Raw genomic sequence first — 21359 nt, forward strand, 5'->3', positions numbered from 1 at the left:
TGACCAGGGAGTGATGTTATAGAAATTGCGTAAGTGTAGAGAAAAGGTTTGGTTCCCTTATTTTGCATGATGATCTCTCACTGTGCATTTTATTATGTTTATATTTAACTATGAAGTAATTGCTATTACTGCACTACTGTGTTTGATGCCTACCCTGTGTCAAACATTAGGTATTTTACGTTTATTATCTCCAATCCTAAGTAATGCCTTCAAGCTAGGTAGGTTTATTGATGAGGAAACCGGTGTGGATAGGTCAAAATAAACTGTTTTAGGCCATGCAGGCTGAATTTGAAATCATCTAATCACCTTTGTAAATCTGACAGGGCCTGAGCTCTTTAGGTCAAACCTGCTGCCTCCCATGTTTAGGGGAATAGGCTTAAGAAGTTCAGGGAAAGTACTTGCCTGTTGAGGCATGTTTTCTTAGTTACAAAGGGCTTAAATTGTTTTGTGGGTATGTGAAACATTCTTCCCAGAAGCTGAAAGCCTCCTAGGGATTCCCTCGTTCTGTGTTTTGCCCATTCTTTAAGTCACGGATGCCCAATGTGAAGAGATCACATATGTTCATGATGCCCCGTGATCATCATTGTCATGCTGTTGCCTGAAGGGGGACCAGGAATAGATTGGCATCCTGGATTTTGTGACTTAATAGTTGATTCATTGGATAAATGGTTGTCTCATTCTTTTTTTGTTAATGGCTTTATTGAGGTATACTTTAAATGCCATAAAATTCACTCATTTTAAAGTATAGACCGAAATGATTTTTTTGTGGGGGAGTTTTCCTTGGGAGACAGGGTCTTGCACTGTCACCCAAGCTGAAGTGTAATGACACCATCTTGGCTCACTGCATCTTCTGCCTCCGGGCTCACCTCAAGCCATCCTCCTATCTCAGCCTCCCCAGGAGCTGGGACTACAGGCATGCACCATCACGCCCGGCTAATTTTTGTATTTTTTGTAGAGACTTGATTTTGCCATGTTTCCCAGGCTGGTCTTGAACTCCTGAGCTCAAGGAATTCACCCGCCTAGGCTCCTAAAGTACTGGGATTACAGGCGTGAGCCACCGCAACCGGCCTTGAATGATTTTTAGTAGATTTACAGAGTGGTGCCACCATTGCCACAATCTAATTTGGAAATACTTCCATTGCCCCAAAAGAAACTTTGCAACAGTTGTGTCAGTTTTAAACTGCTCTTTTAAGGTACCCTTCTCTGATGTGCTATTAGGTTCTCTAGCTGGCTATGAAGAAGAAGAAATCATCTTTGAAAATTATTTAAGTAAAATTTTTTTATTTTAATTTTTGTGGGTACATAGTAGGCATATATATTTATGGGGTACATGAGATGTTTTGGTACAGGCATGGAATGTGTAATAATCACATAATGTAAAATGGGATATCTTCCCTGAAGCATTTATTTTTTGTGTTAAAAACAATCCAGTTATATTATTTAATTTTAATCAAACAATATAGCACTCACCATATGTCAGGCACTGTTCTAAGTGCTTTGTGAAGATTAACTCATTGAATTCGTTGATTCCTCTTGACACACTTTGAGAAAGGTACTCTTAATATTTGTATTTTACAGATAGAGAAACAGAAGCATAGAAAAGGTAAATAGATTGGCCAGTGTCACAGAGCTGGTAATGATGGAGTTGGGAATCAAAACGTGTTATTCTAAGCACTCTAAAGCACCTGATGAGACCAGAAAGAATGGGGGAAGCAGTAGCTAACTAGATGGATGGAAGGCATCAGGAAGAGTAAAAGCCAGTACCTTCTAGGAAACAGCCAGAGCTTCAGATAGCCCTGGGTCTCAGATGCCTTAGTACAGAATAAAATAAGATCCGATAAATCCATCCTGGTGGTCTGCATGGCATTTGTCAGTAATCTAGGATTCCTCTGTCCATTTACCCTCCTCTTCTTTGCCTTGGTATCATAGGGAGCAAAACATGCTTTGATGGACTTTTGCTTTCTATATTGGACCTCAGAGAGCTAGAGTGATGTGCTTTTGAGGTCCCTTACCTGAGGGAGTTGGGGGTTGGGGGTGTCTGTGTTCTGGTCAAAAGGTCCTTGGTGAAGGTCTGAAAAGCCTGGTCTGGAATGATCTGTGGGAGGAACTGGGCCCATTGCCCCATATCCTTAGCCCACCTCCTTCCTCTTCTTTTGCAAATGGTTGTATTATAGTTGGTGGGTCTGCCCATTAACCTTGCCTATTTTGAAGCCTGGGACCTTTTCTTTGTTTAGGGGGAAGGCCTTTTGATCTCCTAGTGTGCTAGGATTCTGGGGAGGGAAGCTCATGAGGCTGGTATAGTCATTAAGTTCAGCTGTTCACTAAAAATTACCTTTCTCTGAATTTGGAAGATAGCAACCATGATAGTAATTCCCTCTCGGCCTCAAAGGGAAAATGACCACTCTAGTTTTTGTTTAGCATTCCCCTGTCCTTAGGGCACAAAAACCTTGTGGAAGTATTCGGTGGTACACATGAAGGAACCCGGGCTGGGTGTCTGTCCACCTTTGTATTTAGTAAATATAACGGATTAGCGCGTTTTGGTGGGAGGAAAATTTGACTCTTCATACTTAATGTGTAATGTACTTGGGATTTATTAATTGATTGATTTGCTGCTTGTGTTTTTTGGGCCTACCATCTTTTTTTTTTTTTTGAGATGTAGTCTCATTCTGTCACCCAGGCTGCAGTGCAGTGGCATGATCTTGGCTCACTGCAACCTCCACCTCCTGGGTTCAAGTGATTCTCCTGCCTCAGCCTCCCGAATAGCTGGGATTACAGGCGTGCGCCACCATGCGCGGCTAATTTTTATATTTTTAACAGAGACAGGGCTTCACCATGTTGGCCAGGCTGGTCTCGAACTCCTGACCTTGTGATTCGCCCATCTCGGCCTCCCAAAGTGCTGGGATTACAGGCATAAGCCACCACTCCTAGCCCGGGCCTACCATCTTTTTATTCTACCAAGTTATGCCCCTCCATTTGCTTCTGGCAGACTTTCATCCAGTTCAAGACCCTTTTAACTTATCAAAGGTCACAAGAAGATGCTCAAGAGGGAATCAAAGTGAGTATGTGGAATGCAGGGTATTCTGTCAAAACTGTTAGAATATATTAAAAATTGGAAAAGCCAAAGCTTGAAACACTATGTCTGGTATAACACATTAGTTGCCCATAGGAACATTTTGATCAAGTGATGGCATTGATACAAGGGCGCTGAGTTTGTGTTGTTAATTCACTTTTAACTCTTCATGTATCATTTTTGTTCTAGTTGTAAACTGGAAGAAATTTTTGGAGCTGAAAGGAACTTTAGCAAACCTTCAAAATCAACCTGCTTATTTTACATAAGTAGGCATTGAAACCTAAGAATGGTCAAGTCAGTTTTCCAAACCCCTGTAAAGAGTTAGATGAAAGGAGCAGTCCAGTTTTCTGGGTTAATTTTCTGGTGCTTTCGCATCCTGAAAATCCAATATGGGCCTTATTATAAAGCTATAGACGGGTCTATGAGATCTTTCTAGGTAAGAGTGCTATGTGCTATTTCAGTAAAGGAATTGGAGACAGAGTTATTTGAGATGGAGTAACTGCCAAGTGGTCTTATAATTTCCCTCCATTCTGTCCTGGTGATTAATCCTAAATTGGACTTCAGAATTCTCAGTTCAGTGTGATAAAAATGTTAGTAAAATCTCTGTACATGGCAGTTATAGAAACTTGTTTATTACATAATCTTTTTCTGACAATTCTGTTCTTAAATATCTTTGGCTTAATTTTCAAACAAAAACCAAAAATAAAAATAAATGATTGGTAGTCCTTCTAATACTTGTTCTAATTATACTGCTTTTTAATGATCAAAAAAGTATTTTAACAAAACAGCCATATATCTTAATATGCCAGAACCACTTAAAGTTCTACAGTCGTGTTTATACCAGGTATTTTTATTGTGAAACATGCCCCAAACACATCTTGAGCGGAGCTTTAAGTATGTCTTGTCTATAACATTGGAAAGAGATATGAACCCTCCTTTGGTTAATTGAAGTCAAGGTGTAATGCCTTTGTGGTTTCCCATGTGTTTCTAATCAATAGTTCTTGGCGGTTTCCAAACGACTTCCCCCATCCCATCTCTCTGGTATGAGCACTTCAGGAAACAAACTGTATTAACTTTGGCCAGAATACACAGAGAGGGTTGCAGGACCTTTTAGCAATTTTCTGTGGAGGATTCTCTGACCTGGTAGGTTGAATATCTCCTCTGTTAGCCTTTGGGTATACGTTGTGATAGATTTATGGTAGGGATAAATCATTTCCAGGATGATGAAGAAGTTTTAACATCTACCTCATTGTGTTATATAAAAATATTTAAGTGTTATGGCATCTGAGTAAATGGAGATGGGTGACAGGGAGAAAGGGAGTGAGGAAGAGAAGCTCAGGGTTCTTTAGGCCACAATGGACCTTGAGCTGTGTGTCATTGGCTATTTATTTTTGTGTGTCTGTGGCTGAAATGCTCTCCAGAATAGCTGTAGGAATAACAGCTGTTATTAGGAGTAAGTCAGACAGGGTACTTGTGTATTTAGAAGACCTTTTAAGCACTGGTAGCAGCCTAGACAAGCAGCCGGTAGAGATATAAGACAATGGCCCCTCGGTTGTGGTTGCCATAGCCCTTAGTATGTTTTATCACTTGCTTAGAGTTTTGTTCCAAAGGCAGGAGCCATGTGGCAGTGCACTTTCAGTGCCTCAAGCATTGTTTGTATGTATAGTTCTTGAAAATTCATCTCACTTTGTCACGTCACAAGATGAATACGTACTCAGACTTGATGTGAAATGCTTTCTTTTGATCATCAGTGCAGACACAGTGGTTCGACTTCATTAGTCAGAGGTGGGGCCCAGATACTGATGTTTTTTCAAAGCTCCCCAGATGATTCTGATGGGCAGCTGATACTGAGATTTTTTTTTTTTTGAGAAACACAGAAGCATATAAAACAACAATCTGTTTTGCATATATGCAGTACTTGGTATTTAGAAAAGCTGTTTATAGCCTATTCCTATTGTCAACTTGAATTACCATAAGGAAATATATTTAAAGTTTAGCCTTATCACCTGTTTGCATTAGGCAGTGGTCTCTAAGAAGCCTAACAGGTATTTGTAAGAAAAGTAAATTTTAAGCACAACTCATCCATCTAAAGAAATACATAAAAAATCAAGCATTTGTGGCCCATACTCTTCCTGCCATGCCCGTTGGTCTCTACCTCATGGCTCACATGGCATGTAATAGCGAGTCAGTGTTTTTGTTTTACAAAATCCTCTTCCAACTCCTCGTAGGAGAGGATTGTATCAACCTGGTTTGTTTCTCCTACTCTGATGTTGGAACGGTTAGGAGCAGGAAATCATTCTGATTAGGTCCCAAACTAGCATAAAATGAAAATCAGTGCTAGTAACCCCTGAGTCCTAAAAGATAACTTACAGGAAAGAGGGAAACCAGATGGGAAGTTTAAAAGCAGGAGAAGTTAATGCTTTAAAATCATTGTTTGGCTGGGTGTGGTGGCTCACACCTGCAATACCAGCACTTTGGGAGGCTGAGATGGGTGGATCACTTGAGGTCAGGAGTTCGAGACCAGCCTGGCCAACATGGTGAAACCCAGTCTCTACTAAAAATAAAAAAATTAGCCAGGCATAGTGTTGTGCTCCTGTAGTCGCAGCTACTCGAGAGGCTGAGGCAGGAGAATCGCTTGAACCCTGGAGACAGGTTGCAGTGAGTTGAGATCATGCCACTGCACTCCAGCCTAGGCGATAGAGTGAGACTCCTTCTTAAAAAATAAATAAATAAAATGAAATCATTTTTTGTTGTTTTAATTTCCATTATTGTCTTTTTTTTTCAACATAACATCTCTCTTAAAAATGAGACTAAAACTTTCAAGGTAATATGTGAAATGAAAACATTTCAAAAGGGTAGAACATGGGAAGACAAGACTTCCTCCTCTTCATGTAAATTCTATCCCCCAGTATTAACGTTTGAGATAACCTCTATGAAGCTTCTTATAAATCCTTCCAGAATCGTGTATGCAGTCAAGCAGGGCCCCTGGGATTAGATATATGGATTGTATTTAGATTATAGTAGGAATGACTCCCCCTGGGTTTGTGCAGTGCACATACCCTTGGCCACACGTGGTCACCCTATATGCAGAGTATACTCTACCTTTAAAACAATACAACATAGGATTACATTCAGTGTACTGTGCTATACCTTGCCTTTTTCAATTAACAGTATATAATGGAAACTTTGCCATTGTCTTTAAAGGATATTGTCACACTGCCAAATTGCCACATTCCCCCTTTGTAAAAGGCAACACCTATTTAAATTACCAGTGGTGTATGAGAGTACCTGTCTCAACCCATTCTTGCCAACTTTGCATTTTATCAAACTTGAAAAATATTTGCTGATTGGTAACATATTCATTCCAAAAATGTTTTAAGTGACTTCTGTGTGCAAGGCTTCTTGCTCTATCCTGCAAAACAAAAGCAAATCAGAACCGTGCTTTCTTCTTTTCTAGATGTCTGTGGTTTAATGGCAGTGAGGGACAAAAAGCAAGCAAACCACAATTTACAATTATTTTATGTACAGATTTATCATGGAAACAAAGGGGCAGCTGTAGTAAGCCATTATAGTTTAATGTAAAGTTTAAAATGCCATAGAAATATGGGTTATTGCTCTTTGTGTTGCCTGCAGTATTTTTCTTCTCATTTGTAAATATATTTTCCATTTAGTTTCTTGATGTCTTCTAGGTTAGCTTATTGCATAATTTAAGAGCCTTTTTCCTTTTGCTGCATCAAATATATGGTAGATAGCCAACTTTTTAAGGACTCTCTTTTAAAAACCTTCCTGAAATGATACCATTTTATTCTTTTTGTAAAGACCCCTATAGAATATCTAGGGAGGTTGAGAAGTTTCTAGTATTTTGAAATAAGAATTTATAGCAAACCCTGTGTTTTGACTAATTGTGTTCTATAATTCTGTGATGTGGCTATTGGTCATAAGTCATTAGTGACTTTGGATAGAGATAGTTCGAGTGGTGGGGTAGAAAGTGTTTCTAGTTATAATATGTCATATACCTCAAGGTCTAGTCTAATGTCTGATGCCATTTTTCTGGTCTGTCTAGAGATTCATCTAACACTGCTGCATGAAAATAGTTAAAGCTTGCATGTTCTCACTTACAAGTGGGAGCTAAATGATGAGAACACATGGGAGCATGGTGGGGAGCAACACACACTGGGGCCTGTTGTGTGTGAGGAGGGAGGAGGCAGGTGGGAGGAGGGAGAGCATCAGGAAGAATAGCTAATGGATGCTGGGCTTAATACCTGGGTGATGGGATGATCTGTGCAGCAAATCACCGTGTTTACCTACGTAACAAACCTGCACATCCTGCACATGTACCCCTGAACTTAAAATAGAAGTTGGAAATTTAAAAAAGCCTTAGAGGAACAAAAAAAAAAAAAAAAAAAGAAAGAAAATGGTTAAAGCTGAAGACAGCACGCAGTGTCCGACCAAATGTGTCCATGCAGAGCTGTCCCTTTCTAGGCCGGTGCCCCTGCCTTACATTGTGTGTAAACTCTTGATCCTTTTCTAGAGCCTAGTGAAGGGTCTAGCTGTGGGAAGTGGAGCATGAACTGGAAATAACTTCCTGCCTCTAGCGATTCATTTTTCTTTTCAGCACCATTTCAGCGATAGAGGTTTTACTGAAATTTAAAGAGAGAAAGGCTAAAAGCTTAGTATTTCAATGTGCCAGCTATTGCTGACTTGCAGTAAAGAACTGTTGCCGAATTAATGTGGTTGGTATTTACTGACAGATCCCTTAGATAGCCCACTTCTTTTGTCTTTTTTTTTTTGTTTTCTTTTCCCTTCTAAGACTTCTGTGGCATCTATCTTCAATTTGTCTTCAATTTTGGGGAAATGCTCTTTCTTTTTTAATTTCTAAGTTTTTAGAAATTGATGCTCTCAGATATGTCTGAATTGACACAGTATGATGGGGATCTAAGACCTGCTTTTGTGCCTGGGAGCCATGAACGTTACACTAAGCAGTCGAAATTTCTGTGCTGTAGTTTTCTTCTCTGTAATATGAAGGTGCTGGGATAAATAATCTGACATCTTGCTTATTCAGCTCAACAATTCTGTGCATATATTGCATTTACACATCTATCTTGGATTTTTAAAAGATGTGGCATAGGTGATGGGTTGATAGGTGCAGCAAACCACCATGGCATACGTCGTTTACTTACGTAACAAACCTGCACATCCTGCACATGTACCCCTGAACTTAAAAACAAAAAACAAACCAACAAACAAAAAAAGCAGTGGCAGCAGATGTGTGCTTTGAGCAGTTGGTTATATTGAAATTTTTATAATACTGGTTTTATCAAATTATGACTAATTATCCCTTCACTTGCAAAATAAAGTGGTTTTCATTTTCTATGTGGAAGTCAAGAGACTGTACTGTGCTTGAGTTTTGGAAATGAGTTCTCACGTTAGTCCATTTTAGAACTTGCGACCAGGCTATCCTTTGTCTCTTCCTTGACAGACAGCAGTGGGTTGCCAACGTGCCCTTGTGTGCACACTCACCTTTTCTCTTCTCTTTATTAATGTTCTGTTATAGGCAAAATGAACATTGTGCTGAAGGTGTGTTAACTCATTTAATTGGAGATGAGTGAAATATCATTTTCTAATGGCCTTCTGCATGCCTTAGAGCCCAGGCCTATGGGGTACGTTGAAGACGTGAACATTGTAATGCAAGTTAATGTTTATATACCTACTTTCACTTCCATTCATCTCTTTCTTTAAAGGTTGATTAAAGATTTATTTCAGGCCATGCACGGTGGCTCACGCCTGTAATCCTAGCATTTTGGGAGGCCGAGGTGGGCGGATTGCCTGAGCTCAGGAGTTCGAGACCACTCTGGGCAACATGGTGAAACCTCGTCTCTACTGAAATACAAAAAATTAGCGGGGCATGGTGGCACGTGCCTGTAGTCCCAGATACTGGGGAGGCTGAGGCACGAGAATTGCTTGAACTCGGGAGGTGGAGGTTGCAGTGAGCCAAGATCATGCCACTGCACTCCAGCCTGGGTGACAGAGTGAGACTTGGTCTCGAAAATATATATATATATATGTTTATTTCAGCAAATTCTGGAATTATGCCCTCCCCTCCCCCCTTTTTATTTTTGCTGATTGATGTTTAAAAGTGGACCATTAAAAAATGTAATTCCAAGATTGCCTTGCATCTGTTTTGAATGATTGTGTTTTGCTTTACAAGGGGCAGAATGACTTTTGGGGCCAAATGCTCAGCTGACTTTTTGTTCGCTGTTTTCTGCAGGGATCTTGAGAATAATGGTTCTTTTTAAGGCCAATTGTTACTTTCTTTCTCACACAAAGGAAAAAAGAGACTATCTTTAGGAAACACTGCTTTAAATCATCTTCCTTGAATATTAATTCTCTGTTGCTTCCTCCAAAAATGGAGAAAATAATCCCTACCCTCATAGGCTTATTATAAGGCTCAATTATGATAATGGTGTGAAAACTTTGAAAATTAGACTTCAGAGAAATTGAGTTAATCTGGGATTATTTATCAATGTCTTAGTAACCAAAAGTTTAAAATGTGTTTTGTTTACCAACTGGTTGCATGTACATGGTTAATCCAAAAGGCTCAGCTTTTCAGCAAATGGAAAAAGATTAACTTCTTTATGGATCACATTATGAGATGAAACACATTTCATTCTAGCTGCTGAAAAAATAGCAACATGTTTTTGAAACCATTGTGATTTTGTATTGCAGTCACTAAAACATCAAATATATCATTTTTATGTTAAAGTGCCCTAATTTGTGTTGTTACATAAAACTTGGAGTACCTTGACCAAATAGAAGAAATTAATGTGCCGCGTGTCTGTTTTAAAGATGAAATCTGAGCCCAGTGTGAGGCTCATGCCTGTAATCCCAGCACTTTGGGAGGCTGAGGCAGGAAGATTGCTTGAGTCCAGGAGTTGGAGACCAGCCCGGGCAACATAGGGAGACCTCATCTCTACAAAAAATAAAAAATAGACAGACATGGTGGCACATGCGTGTAGTCCCAGCTTCTTGGGAGGCTGAGCTGGGACAATTGCTTGAGCCAGAGAGGTCAAGGCTGCAGTGAGCTGTGATCACACCACTGCACTCCTGGTCTGGGCAACAGAGTGAAACCCTATCTTTAAAAAAAAAAAAAAAAAAAAGATTTGAAAATTTAAATCTTGAGAAGGATTCTGAAGATTTTTGAGAAAATATTTTATTCCTCTCTCTGTTATCTGTGTGTATGTGTATATACACATACAATTTTATGAAATGTGGTTTATGTGATTGTTTTCAGTATTTGGCTAATATCTATGTAAAAGAAAAATGGGCCCACAGGCTGAATATGTGTTTTCTCCTCATAAATAGGGGACTGGTGGTTGGTTGCATTTCTTTTTTTTTTTAACAGTCTCAGATGATTCTGTCTTCATTTCCACTTTGCTCCCATTCTGGCATTGCCTGTGTGGATTGAGCATGTGAAAGCTTGACATCATGATTCAATCATTCTCTGATTTTGCAATAATTCAAAGCAGAGCGGAAGCATTGTGAAAGAATCATGCCAGTTTTCTTAAGGTCTGATACACCCATCCTAATTTACAGTATTGTTCTAAAGATGCACCAGGAAACACACATGCATGCACACACACACCCTAGTGAGACATCTGAGGGGATTTGGCTGCCTCCCGTTCCTTTCCTGTCTCCTCCCTTTGTTTCCAGATGCATCAGCAGATGGCCGTCCAAAGCTCTAAATTTGTACCTTGTGTGACCTTTAGCCTGGAGAAAGGCAAATTTATTCTGAGGATAGACTTCCCTGCCATTGCAAGTAGACCTTCTGTCAGTTGTTATAAATAAACTCAAGTCTTTGGATGTTCCTTCTGAGGTTGAATTGGCATAGGGGGCCGTTAATTAAACTGTAGCCTTTCTTGGGACTCTAACAAATTTTAAAGATGAGTAAGACAACATTGGAGGTACTCCCTGATAGTCCTGCAGTGTAGGATAATACAGGAGAAGCTCCAGGATCCATCTCCTGAGAGCTGGCTTTGCAGCGTAGGATAATACAGGAGAAGCTCCAGGATTCATTTCCTGAGAGCTGGCTTCAAAAGAAGTTTTCAGGTTGCATGGCAGGCATTGACATGGACTTTGGAGTCAGGCAGACCCGGGCTTGAGTTCTGCCTCTGCTCTATACTAGCAGCGCTTACCTCATGGAGCTGTTAGCATTAAATGAGGAGGTATTTATCTATCTGTCATTTCCCAGAACTGATCCAGGACCTAATAGGCGCTGAATAAATGGTAGGCCACTTAATTTTATATCACAAGAGCACATTCTTAAATCTTTATTCAAGGACAGGAGGCCCTGGAACTAACTAATGAAGGAAAGGGAAATTGCTGTGTGCCATCAAGCAGAGGATCAGAAAAAGAATATGAGAATAATTTTATTAGCACTTACAATTCACTGCGTTTCAACTATTGCAAAATAACAGTATGCAAGAGTGTAGGTTGTCTTACAGAAATGATGTGCTCTTGTTTGTGGCAGCTCATTTTAGGGGAGAAGTCATCTAGGTTACCATGTGTTTGTAGAGCAGAAGACTTAAAAGTGGACAAAGGAAGTTGGCATTATTCTGGAGGATAGAAAATCAACCCAACTTCTCTTCTCTTCCCACCACTGGACTCTGGGTGAGCTTGAGAATGGGAAGTCTTTTCTGTTGCCTAGTGAGTCAACTCTTAATGTAGTCTACCGTGGACATCAGGGTTGGTCTGAATGTAAAGTTGCATGCCCCTGGACACAGTGCTTGGGTGAGAGATGACAGAGGAACAGCTGGACAAAGTAAATGGGGTGAGAATAATGGCCTGGAGGTCCTTGGGGAAAACTTGTCACCACCTTAGGTTGGCTGTGACTATTTACTAATATGAGCTGTGATCAGAGGCTGAGGGATAAAGCAGGCCAACATTTCCTTTTCTTCTTATTACTGATTTCTTCTAGTTCTTCCCCCATAATTGGCCCCAACCTTCTAAAGAAAAGGCTCTGCAGACAGCAGTGGGGGAAAATCAGTCTGATGTAGTCTGGAGAAAATCTTTGTCCTGCCCTGTTTTCCTGTAGCTTTGAAAATCTCAAATGCAAGGCCAAACAACGAATTATTATTAACGTGATAGAGGAAACTGGTACTATTAATGTCATGCAAGGAGAAAGCCCATTTTGAGTAGAAACAGAAGGACATTTATGAGGGGAAAGTTGGCTGGGTAGGGCAAAACTGAGTAGTAGAAAATTTAACTGTAATTATTCCATTGAATTTTTTTAGAAGGACTCTTCAAATTATTGAAAGTTGCTTAGTAATTAGCATAGTAACCATTTACAAAATACACTCTGACCTAGAGCAACAGGGAAGGGAGTCAGAGAGACAAGTTTTGTGCAGACTGTCAGCTACAGCAGGAAAGTATGCACGGTGAATTTCCACGTTAGGTCAGGCCCATGTAAAATTTACAAATGGCAGGGGGTATGGAGGAATAAAGGCATTAGCATTGCATATGACCTGGTGGCCCTTTGAAAACTGTGTTTGGGGTTTATGTTTCTAGTTGCAGCTAAATCTGAATTTGAGGTTTTAATCCTTTTGAACCAAGCTAGGTCTAAGAATTAGACATTTGATCTCATGCATCTTATCCAGCACACAAAAACTTGAGTGCTTCCTTGGCTTGGACATAAGCTGGATCCCAGCTGGCCCCTGATTTTAGTTTCTGTGAAGTGATTAGTGATTAGGTGGCACCATGGTAAGGCAGGGTGCTGTGGTGGCAGGGTCTTCCCCCCATGCAGAAGGGCCCCTGCAGAACACAGCAGTAAGTTTTTTAACTGGCCTACTCCTGCTTGCCCCAGAGGGCTGAGAATTGGTTTTTAGATAGCTGATTTGTTTGTTATTGGCTCTAATTAGGCAGGTAGGCTTAGCTCCTTTAATTATTCATGCTACTTTGCGGAAGCTTAAGCTACTTATTCAGAGTTCCAGGGCCAGGACTTGGGTGGGAATTCTTTGGCAGGGCCAGCTGCAGAATTAGCATTAATGTGATACTAATCCCTGGGATGGCCCCTCAGAGCAGTGTACCCAAATGTTTGTTTTTCACATCTAGAGTCCACAAACATGTGCTCAGTAATGTCCAGCAGGCTCTAGCACTCAACATCTAGATGGCATGGTTTATGGCCAAGGAGCTTTGGAGCATTGGTCAAAGTCTCAAGCAGAGAGATCAGAGATACAGTCTAGAAGGTATTCTTATATTTAATCTCTCTCTGGAGGCATTGGACTCATATGGCCTAAATTTTTTGACTCAGATACCTGTACATACATGTACACCCCTCACCTTGCTCTCTTCACACACTTGTTTAAGGGAAAATGAGGCCAGGCATGGTGGCTCACTGCTGTAATCCCAGCACTTTGGGAGGCTGAAGTGGGTGGGTCACTTGAGGCCAGGAGTTTGAGACCTGAGTGGGCAACATAGCAAAACTCTGTCTTTCCAAAAAATCTAAAGGGCAAATGGGACAGATTATGTAAAAATCATTCAGAAAATAATTTGTATGCAGCAAAATTAACTATATTTAGATATCCCATGTTGGTTATTATACCTGGGTATCTTTTTCTTCTGTCACTTATGCTTAAGATTTGTCTTCACGTATGGTAAATACCTGCATACCATTACTTATGAGATGGCTTTCCACATAGTTAGTGGGATGTACACTGATATTAGGATATTAGGAAGAACCTCAGACCAAGTATAAATGGCTGAAAAAAAAAAAAGCCCTCACAAGTGATGGTGTATTGGTAAAAGTGGTAAAAAGAGATGAGAAGGTCTCTAGAGCGTCTCTCTTGAATATAGAGATTCTAGCATTTTAATTTTGTTCAAGGTGGGATTGACAGATATAGCTAGTTGAATTTTCAGGAAGTAATAGAAAAATAGTTTAACAAACCAAATTGCTAATTATGTTCTCAGCGAATTGCTGTAATATTCTGGTGTTTTATTGTGTGATATTTTATAGGAGTTAGAAGGATCTTGACTGTCCCTTTCTAGAAAAAAGTCAGGGTGCAGAGACTTTACGAGGTGGCCCCCACCACAATACTACCTTGACCCAGCCTGGACTGCTGGTTAGAGCCCCAAAGATTGTTCCCTTCATTTTAGGTTTCCTCTATGGTGCTATAGCATGTATACATAAAACATTGTTTATACCACTAAAAGACGTGCTTAGTTTTTTTTTTTTCTCCATTTCATTCACTGAAGATACCTCAAATGCAAAACACCACGCGGTATTGCAATCCCGTGCTTGATAAGTTCAGGCCTTTTCCAACTTCCTCACCCCATTGCTTTTTTTATTTTTCTTTTTTTTTTGAGACAGGGTCTGGCTTTATCACCCAGGCTGGAGTGCAGTGGCACTATCTTGGCTCACTGCAGCCTCCACCTCCCAGGCTCAAGCCTGCTGACTAGCTGGGACTACTGGTGCACACTACTATGCTTGGCTATTTTTTCCAATTTTGTAGAAATGAGGGTCTCACTATGCTGCCCAGGTTGAACTCCTGAACTCAAGCAATCCGCTGACCTCAGCCTCCCAAGGTGCTGGAATTACAGATGTGAGCCATCTCTCCTGACCTACACATACTAATGTAAAAGTTGGGAACTACATGGTATCTACTATAACACATCTCAAAATTTCAGTGGCCTATTGTGACTCTGACCTAAAAGCTCAGCATAGATGTTCTTGGCAGGTGGGTTGCATATTTCTCTCTTTTTGTGCCTTACTATTCCCTGGGGCTTTGGAGTCCTCTGAATCTAGCTGGCCTATGAAAAAGAGAGGATGAAAACTCTCCATTTTGCCACCTTTGCCTGGAAGTGACGTATATCACTTCCTCCAGTGTTTCTGGTAGTGAGAAATAGTCTCAGTAACCCATCTAGTAATTGATAGAAATGGCCTGGTAAATGTAGTCCTTGGCGGAAAGCTCCTCTCCAGTGATAAGTTCATAGTATGAAGGGGGAAGTGGGAATTTTGGTGGACAAGTAGACCCCTCTGTCCACGATATTTATATGTTCCAAGAATCTAGATTGGGCAATGTCTTAGTTTGGGCTGAAATAACAAAAATACCATAGACTTGGTGGCTTCAACAACACATTTCTCACAGTCCTGGAGAGTAGAAGTCCAGCATCAAGGCACTGGCAGATCTGGTGTCTGGTGAAGGTATGCTTCATGGTTTGCAGATAGCTGCCTTATTGTCTCCTCACATGGTGGAAAGAGAGACCACTGGTTTCTTCATCCTTTTATAAGGGCACTAATCCCATTCATAAGGGCTTTACCCATATGAATTAATTATTTCCCAGAGGCCCCATCTCAAAATACCATCACATTGGAGATTTAGAGATCACCATATGAATTTGTGGGGTGGGGAAGAGGGACAAAAACATTCACTCCATAGCAGATGATATGGATACTGTGGAGCTAGACATTTGATTTGCTGCTCTGTACCTGACATGGAGCAAATATACCTCTTGGGGTATATTTCACCACTGGCCATGCCTGTTTGCATAGCTTGTTGTCAAGATTAATTGAGAAAGAATGTCTGATAGTATACTGAGCAGAGAAACTTACTGTAACTGCAAAGCAGTGGTAGAAGAATAATAATGCACCCCCCCTGCGGTGAAAAAGATGCTCTAGCCCAGCAATAATGGTATTGACTTCATGAAACCACTTCTGACCTGCGGCAGATTGCTGGATTGATTTAGTGCTGCTTTTTTTTGGAAACAAGCCTTGATTATGCCTTTTTACAGTCTATCAGTTTGTGTGAAACTGACTATATTTTACAGTCTATCGGTTTGTGTGAAACTGAGAGCAACCCTGGTGACTCTCATGGCTAGGATACCATGGTACCTTGATAAGAATTCCAGATTCAAACAACAGAAACAAAAGTGACACAGTAGTCCCCCTCTTGGGCAGTCTTCAAGCACATCTTGAAGAGTTATATAGTTGGTCTTTGAATATCACTGCCTTTTGGCTGTTTCTTCGATTTATATAAAAGAGGCCAATTTGAAGCCATTCACTCAGTACTGTATCACTCACATCTGTTGTAAAAGGCATTAGAATCTGTGGAGTGAGGAAAAAACAGAGCCTTTATGAAATGTGCGCTTGAAATGAGAGATGTTTGTCTTAAATTTGGACAGGATAAATAAGAGACTTACATGGAAACTTTGGAAGCTGTTTTAGTGAAATTTGCCCTTAAGGTCTTGTCTTATTCCAAAATGATGAGGCAGAATGCCCAAATGTTAGCATTTGACATGTGAAGAAAAGGAAAAATTGGATAAAAAGTGAAGAATATGTTCAAATTTCTCTATACAAGCATTAGAGAATATAAGAAGGCCTGTTCAGCATTGGGTTTAAATAGGGAATAATTAGGAAATGGTGTAATGTATTATTTACTCACTGTTTTTCTAGGGACAGTCATTCCAGAATCAAAATCAATTGGTCAGCTTCACCTGGTAGCTAGAAGTAAAAGCATGGCAAATTCAGATGCCCTCAAGGGCCACGCAGGTAACCTTAAGTGGGTGATGCAGGTTCTAAATTAGAGTGGGGAATGGACAGATCAAGTCCCTGGAGGAAGAGGGAGAAAGTAGATATTGAAGCTTAATGCAGAAATACAGGACCAGTGTTGTTACGTCTTCAGACTTTTAAAGGAGACTGAAATATAGGTGGTTTTTTTATTTTTTATTTTTTGAGACATATGACTTTTAATGTCAGCTCGGGTGTTTTGAGGTACTGTGTAGGTCAGTGAAAAATTGTCTGCTAGTCTTAATTTTCCTGAGAGCTACCTGTCTGTGGCATCTATTTTAGTGGCCAGGGAAAGCAGATTTGCTTCTTGGCGCGGGATGGACAGGGAGGGCTCTTTGGTTTAGCAACATATTCTCTGAGTAAACAATCAGGCTACATTTTTGCAGTCATAGCGTCAGGGGGCTGATGCCATTTTTAATCACTTGTAAAGCTCTAGGGGCTATATGGAGAACCTACTGTTACTTGATACTCTTTCATAAAGTAAAATTTTATTTACTTTATAAAAATGCCATAATCATCAGTTGCCGGCACTTATGTTTCTAGTACCCGAGATTAGGAAATCAACAAAAATGGTTTATTTGGGATTGGAAACATAACCAATTTAAGATCTCTTTAGTTACTTGAAAAGAAAGTAGAAATAAAAGGCATTCAGATTCTTGGCTGGCCTGTGAAGTGGAAGGAATTCAGTTTAATTGTGTGTGTGTGTGTGTGTGTGTGTGTGTGTGTGTGGCAATAGCTAATTGTAATGCAGGTTTAATGTCCCTATCTTTTTAGTAGGTTTGGCTTTTGGAGAAAAAAGTTGCTTGGTGTAGAAAATAATTATGTCATATATGAAAATGGTCAAAAATGAAATATAATCAAGGGGAGCTGTTAATAGTTTTGCATGTCTTTAAAAAACTGCTAGTTTTATTGAAAATTTATCAAACTTAACCTTTGAAAATAAGACAGGTTATTATTTTCAAGGTTCAAGGTTTATTTTTCCCAAGAGAAGACAAGTTTTGTTGGATATGTGTGTGTTTTGGTTTTTTAATCAAGCCAGGTTTCATTTTCTTACTTTTAAGTAATGGATATATGGTAATTAAATAAGAAAACAGATTAAAAAGACAATTTTTACCTAAAAGATTTGTTGAAACCTGAAAGTGACCTTTGTAAGTCACCATCTTTTTTCTGAACCTTCATCCATAAATTGGGAACAGTTTCCTCTATCTTGCAGATTGTTCTTTAGCATTAAATGAATATCTGTGTAATGTGCCTGTTGCAATACTTCCACGTAATAGGGACTCATTCCTTTCTTTGCTCTCTTTGATCCTGAAGACATCAAGGAGGGTGCTGACTCCCCATACTGATCCTAGCTGGGGAAAGAATATAGCTTGGGCTACTTTTGTTTTGGGGTCATATTTAAGTTAATTTGGTCTAGTATGCCGTGTCTGTGGTTCTTGGGCATCAGCATTTACCCGTTTTATGAAACTCTCTGTAAATTATAGCCATATAGCAGGTGCTTAGAGTGGTCTCACCGTTAATACATTTTTAAATCACATTTGTAGATTCTGGACAGAAAAGTCAGGACCTTAACCACCAGTAGAAAGCAGGTAATGAACTTGTGTGTACTGCCAAGTGACCTCTCTACTGAGAACATCTAAGGATAAGCCACAAAATGAGAAGTGGACGTGAAACCCCTTTGGATCAGCCTGCCTTAACTAAATGGAAGAATTGGGGCTTTACTGCATGTTTATTATTATTTTATTTTTGGTAGGCACCAGGTCTCGCTATGTTGCCCAGGCTGGTCTGAAATCCCTGGTCTCAAGTGATCCTCTTGACTCAGCCTCCCACAGTGTTGGATTAGAGGCGTGAGCCACAATGTCTGGCCTTTACTGCATGTTAATTTGGCGTTTCAGCAGCCAACTCAGCTGGGAAGTTGCTTGCTTGTTGGGAAGACATGGGCAAGAGAAAAGTTTGATAAATGTGCATGCTGTGACTTTATGCTTGCAAAAAACCAAAATCTCACAGTTGTCAGTACAGCCATAAATGCTAACATCTACTTCTGCTTCTTGACAAATGCATTGCTGATAAGGACAAGGGAAATGGCCCGCTTGACTGTGTTTAGGGTCAGGAATTCTTCCCTTTGCCTTAGAATAAAAAATAGTGTTTTCTTGGAATGTTAAGATTGAAAGTGTCTTCACCGGATTCAATTTCTGTGACATCAGTTCTAGAAGCCCTCCTTGATGTATATGGGTAGTTCACAACAGTGAGTAACTGTGGTTAAAAAACAAAGAAGAGTAAGTTGTTACAGGTAGAGGCATGTAGAGAACACATTCTTATTAGTGCCGGAAGTCCTTATCCAAGAGTCTGCATGCAGAACACAGAGGTGAATTTCATTCTTTTTCTTTGAAGCATTTTCTTAATCTTTTCACATCAAAATGAGGGAGGACTTTTGTGGGAATGATGAAAACACTACTTATGAAAGATTGTTAAGTTCTTATTTGAGTCTGAAATATGACTAAATCTTGCCAGCCTATCAGATGCAGTTGAAATGGGAACCTCTGCAAAACTGTGGGAATCAAAGAAAAACTGCCTTCACCTTGTCTTTTTCAAAGAAGGGGATGTAGGGAAGGCAAGATCCTCTTCATGACTTTTTGGAAGGGTGATTTCTATAGTCTTAACAACATTTGTAGACCATGTAATATGTGCAGAGCACTAAATGGGTTTATAGGTAATGAAATTTTAGACTTGGAGTTGACCTTAATTGTAATTTTATTCAACCTGCTTATTTTGAAAATGAGACAATTAAGAGGAAGTTTACTGCCTCTTTAGGAAGTTAAACAGCTACACATCTTTATAAATATTTTTGAGTTTTATGATGTAGCAAGTGATTGATACTCACAAGCACACCCAGCACATTCAAATACAGAGGATCTACAGAGCATTAACAAGTTCGCTAGATAATAGTGATACATTTTCTAGGAAGAGGTGGGATTTGAACCAATTTTAGTAAAAAGGGGAGGAAAGACAGAGTGGTAGTGCATGCATGTAGTGCTAGCTACTTGGGAGGCTGAGGCAGGAGGATTCTTGAGCCCGTGAGTTTGAGGCTGCAGTAGGCTATAATCATGCCACTGCACTCCAGCCTGGGTGACACAGAGCAAGACCCTGTCTTAAAAATGGGGGACAGGAGGCCAGGCGTGGTGGTTCATGCCTGTAATCCCAGCACTTTGGGAGGCTGAGGCAGGGGAATCACCTGAGGTCGGGAGTTCGAGAGCAGCTTGACCAACATGGAGAAACCCCATCTCTACTAAAAATACAAAATTAGTTGGGCATGGTGGCACGTGTCTGTAATCCCAGCTACTCAGGAGGCTGAGGCAGAGAATTGCTTGAACCAGGGAGGCGGAGTTTGCAGTGAGCTAAGATCATGCCACTGCACTCCAGCCTGGGCAACAGAGCGACACTCCGTCTCAAAAAAAAAAATTGAGAGAGGGACTTGGAGCAGTAGAGTTAAAATAGATGAGAACTGCAATAGGAAATGAGAATTGGTGGTGTGTGATAATTTGTGGGATCAGATATTGAGAGTGGGAGTTCCTACCAGTGTGTGTCTGTGTGTGTTTGTTTTTTAAAATAGGAAATGGTGGCTAGGGGAGTTTTTTGTGTTAAATCTGTGTTGTTGGAGAGTTTTTGGTTGGTGAGGGGGGCCAGGGTGACCAGATGAGGAACCGACAAAATTTAGACACCTGAGAAAGAAAGGGAGGAAATGGACTAACATATTCTCAGGTAGTTAACCTCCTCAGCGTCACCTACTGGTCCTTCTGAATGTTATCAGTTCCCTTAATGAGCCATGCTTCTCACTTCTGTCCTTTTTCTTTTTTTCTTTCTTTTTCTTTTTCTTTTTTTTTTGAGACGGAGTTTTGGTCTTGTTGCCCAGGCTGGAGTGCAATGGCGCGATCTTGGCTTACTGCGACCTCCTTCTCCCGGGTTTAAGTGATTCTCCTGCCTCAACCTCCCTAGTAGCTGGGATTACAGGTGCCTGCCACCATGCCCAGCTAATTTTTGTATTTTTATGAGAGATGTTTCACCATGTTGTCCAGGCTGGTCTGAAAAGCCTGACCTCAGGTAATCCACCCACCTTGGCCTCCCTAAGTGCTGGGATTACAGGCGTGAGCCACCACACCTGGCCCACTTCTGTCCTTTTTCATATGCTATTTCATTTACTGATAATACCTTTCTCCGTACCCCCACCCAAAGCTTGAGTTATTGTCTGTTCATTTGTGTGTTTAGACTTTATTCACCCTTCATTTTAGGATGGTTGTTTCTATAATACATAAAAGATATCTACAAATTTGACCTTTAATGTAGGAACAATGACAAACCACTGAAGGCTTTCCAATCAGGAGAGTGATGTGAGCAGATTTATATTTAAAAGCAGTGGTTCCCAAGCTTTATGTTGCATCAGAATTGTCTGAAGGGCTTGTTAAAACACTAATTACTGGGTTCCATGCTCAGTTTATGATTCAGTAGGTCTGGGCTAGAGCCTGAGAATTTGCATTTCTAACAAGTTCCCAGGTGCAGTCTGAAGATCATACTCATTTAGAGGGATCGCTCGGGCCGCAGCAGGAATGAATGGGCATTTGTGGGTGGTTGGGCAGGACAGGAGCAGGGCAAATGACCTGAAAAATGTATCACTATTTCAGGTAAGAAATAATGATGGAGAAAAGTGAGTCTGTCCAGAGATACTTATAGACGGTA

The 21359-nt window shown here is 40.4% G+C and overlaps 1 protein-coding gene across 13 annotated transcripts in view, besides 2 other annotated features; it reads left to right on the forward strand.

Moving 5' to 3' along the window:
- FMNL2 (formin like 2) overlaps nucleotides 1-21359 on the forward strand; it is a 314653-nt gene that overhangs the window by 86585 nt on the left and 206709 nt on the right. The gene's annotated exons all lie outside the window — the stretch shown is intronic.
- Nucleotides 1915-2641: an enhancer, noted in NCBI's record as "NANOG-H3K4me1 hESC enhancer chr2:153280187-153280913 (GRCh37/hg19 assembly coordinates)". NCBI's record gives its function as "activates a minimal SCP1, AML or CMV promoter by ChIP-STARR-seq in naive H9 embryonic stem cells {active_cell/tissue: H9 hESC(naive)}" and the evidence as "EXISTENCE:reporter gene assay evidence [ECO:0000049][PMID:30033119]".
- Nucleotides 2642-3367: an enhancer, noted in NCBI's record as "H3K4me1 hESC enhancer chr2:153280914-153281639 (GRCh37/hg19 assembly coordinates)". NCBI's record gives its function as "activates a minimal SCP1, AML or CMV promoter by ChIP-STARR-seq in naive H9 embryonic stem cells {active_cell/tissue: H9 hESC(naive)}" and the evidence as "EXISTENCE:reporter gene assay evidence [ECO:0000049][PMID:30033119]".

This window comes from Homo sapiens, chromosome 2 (genome assembly GCF_000001405.40).
Source record: "Homo sapiens chromosome 2, GRCh38.p14 Primary Assembly".
Taxonomy (NCBI): Eukaryota; Metazoa; Chordata; class Mammalia; order Primates; family Hominidae; genus Homo; species Homo sapiens.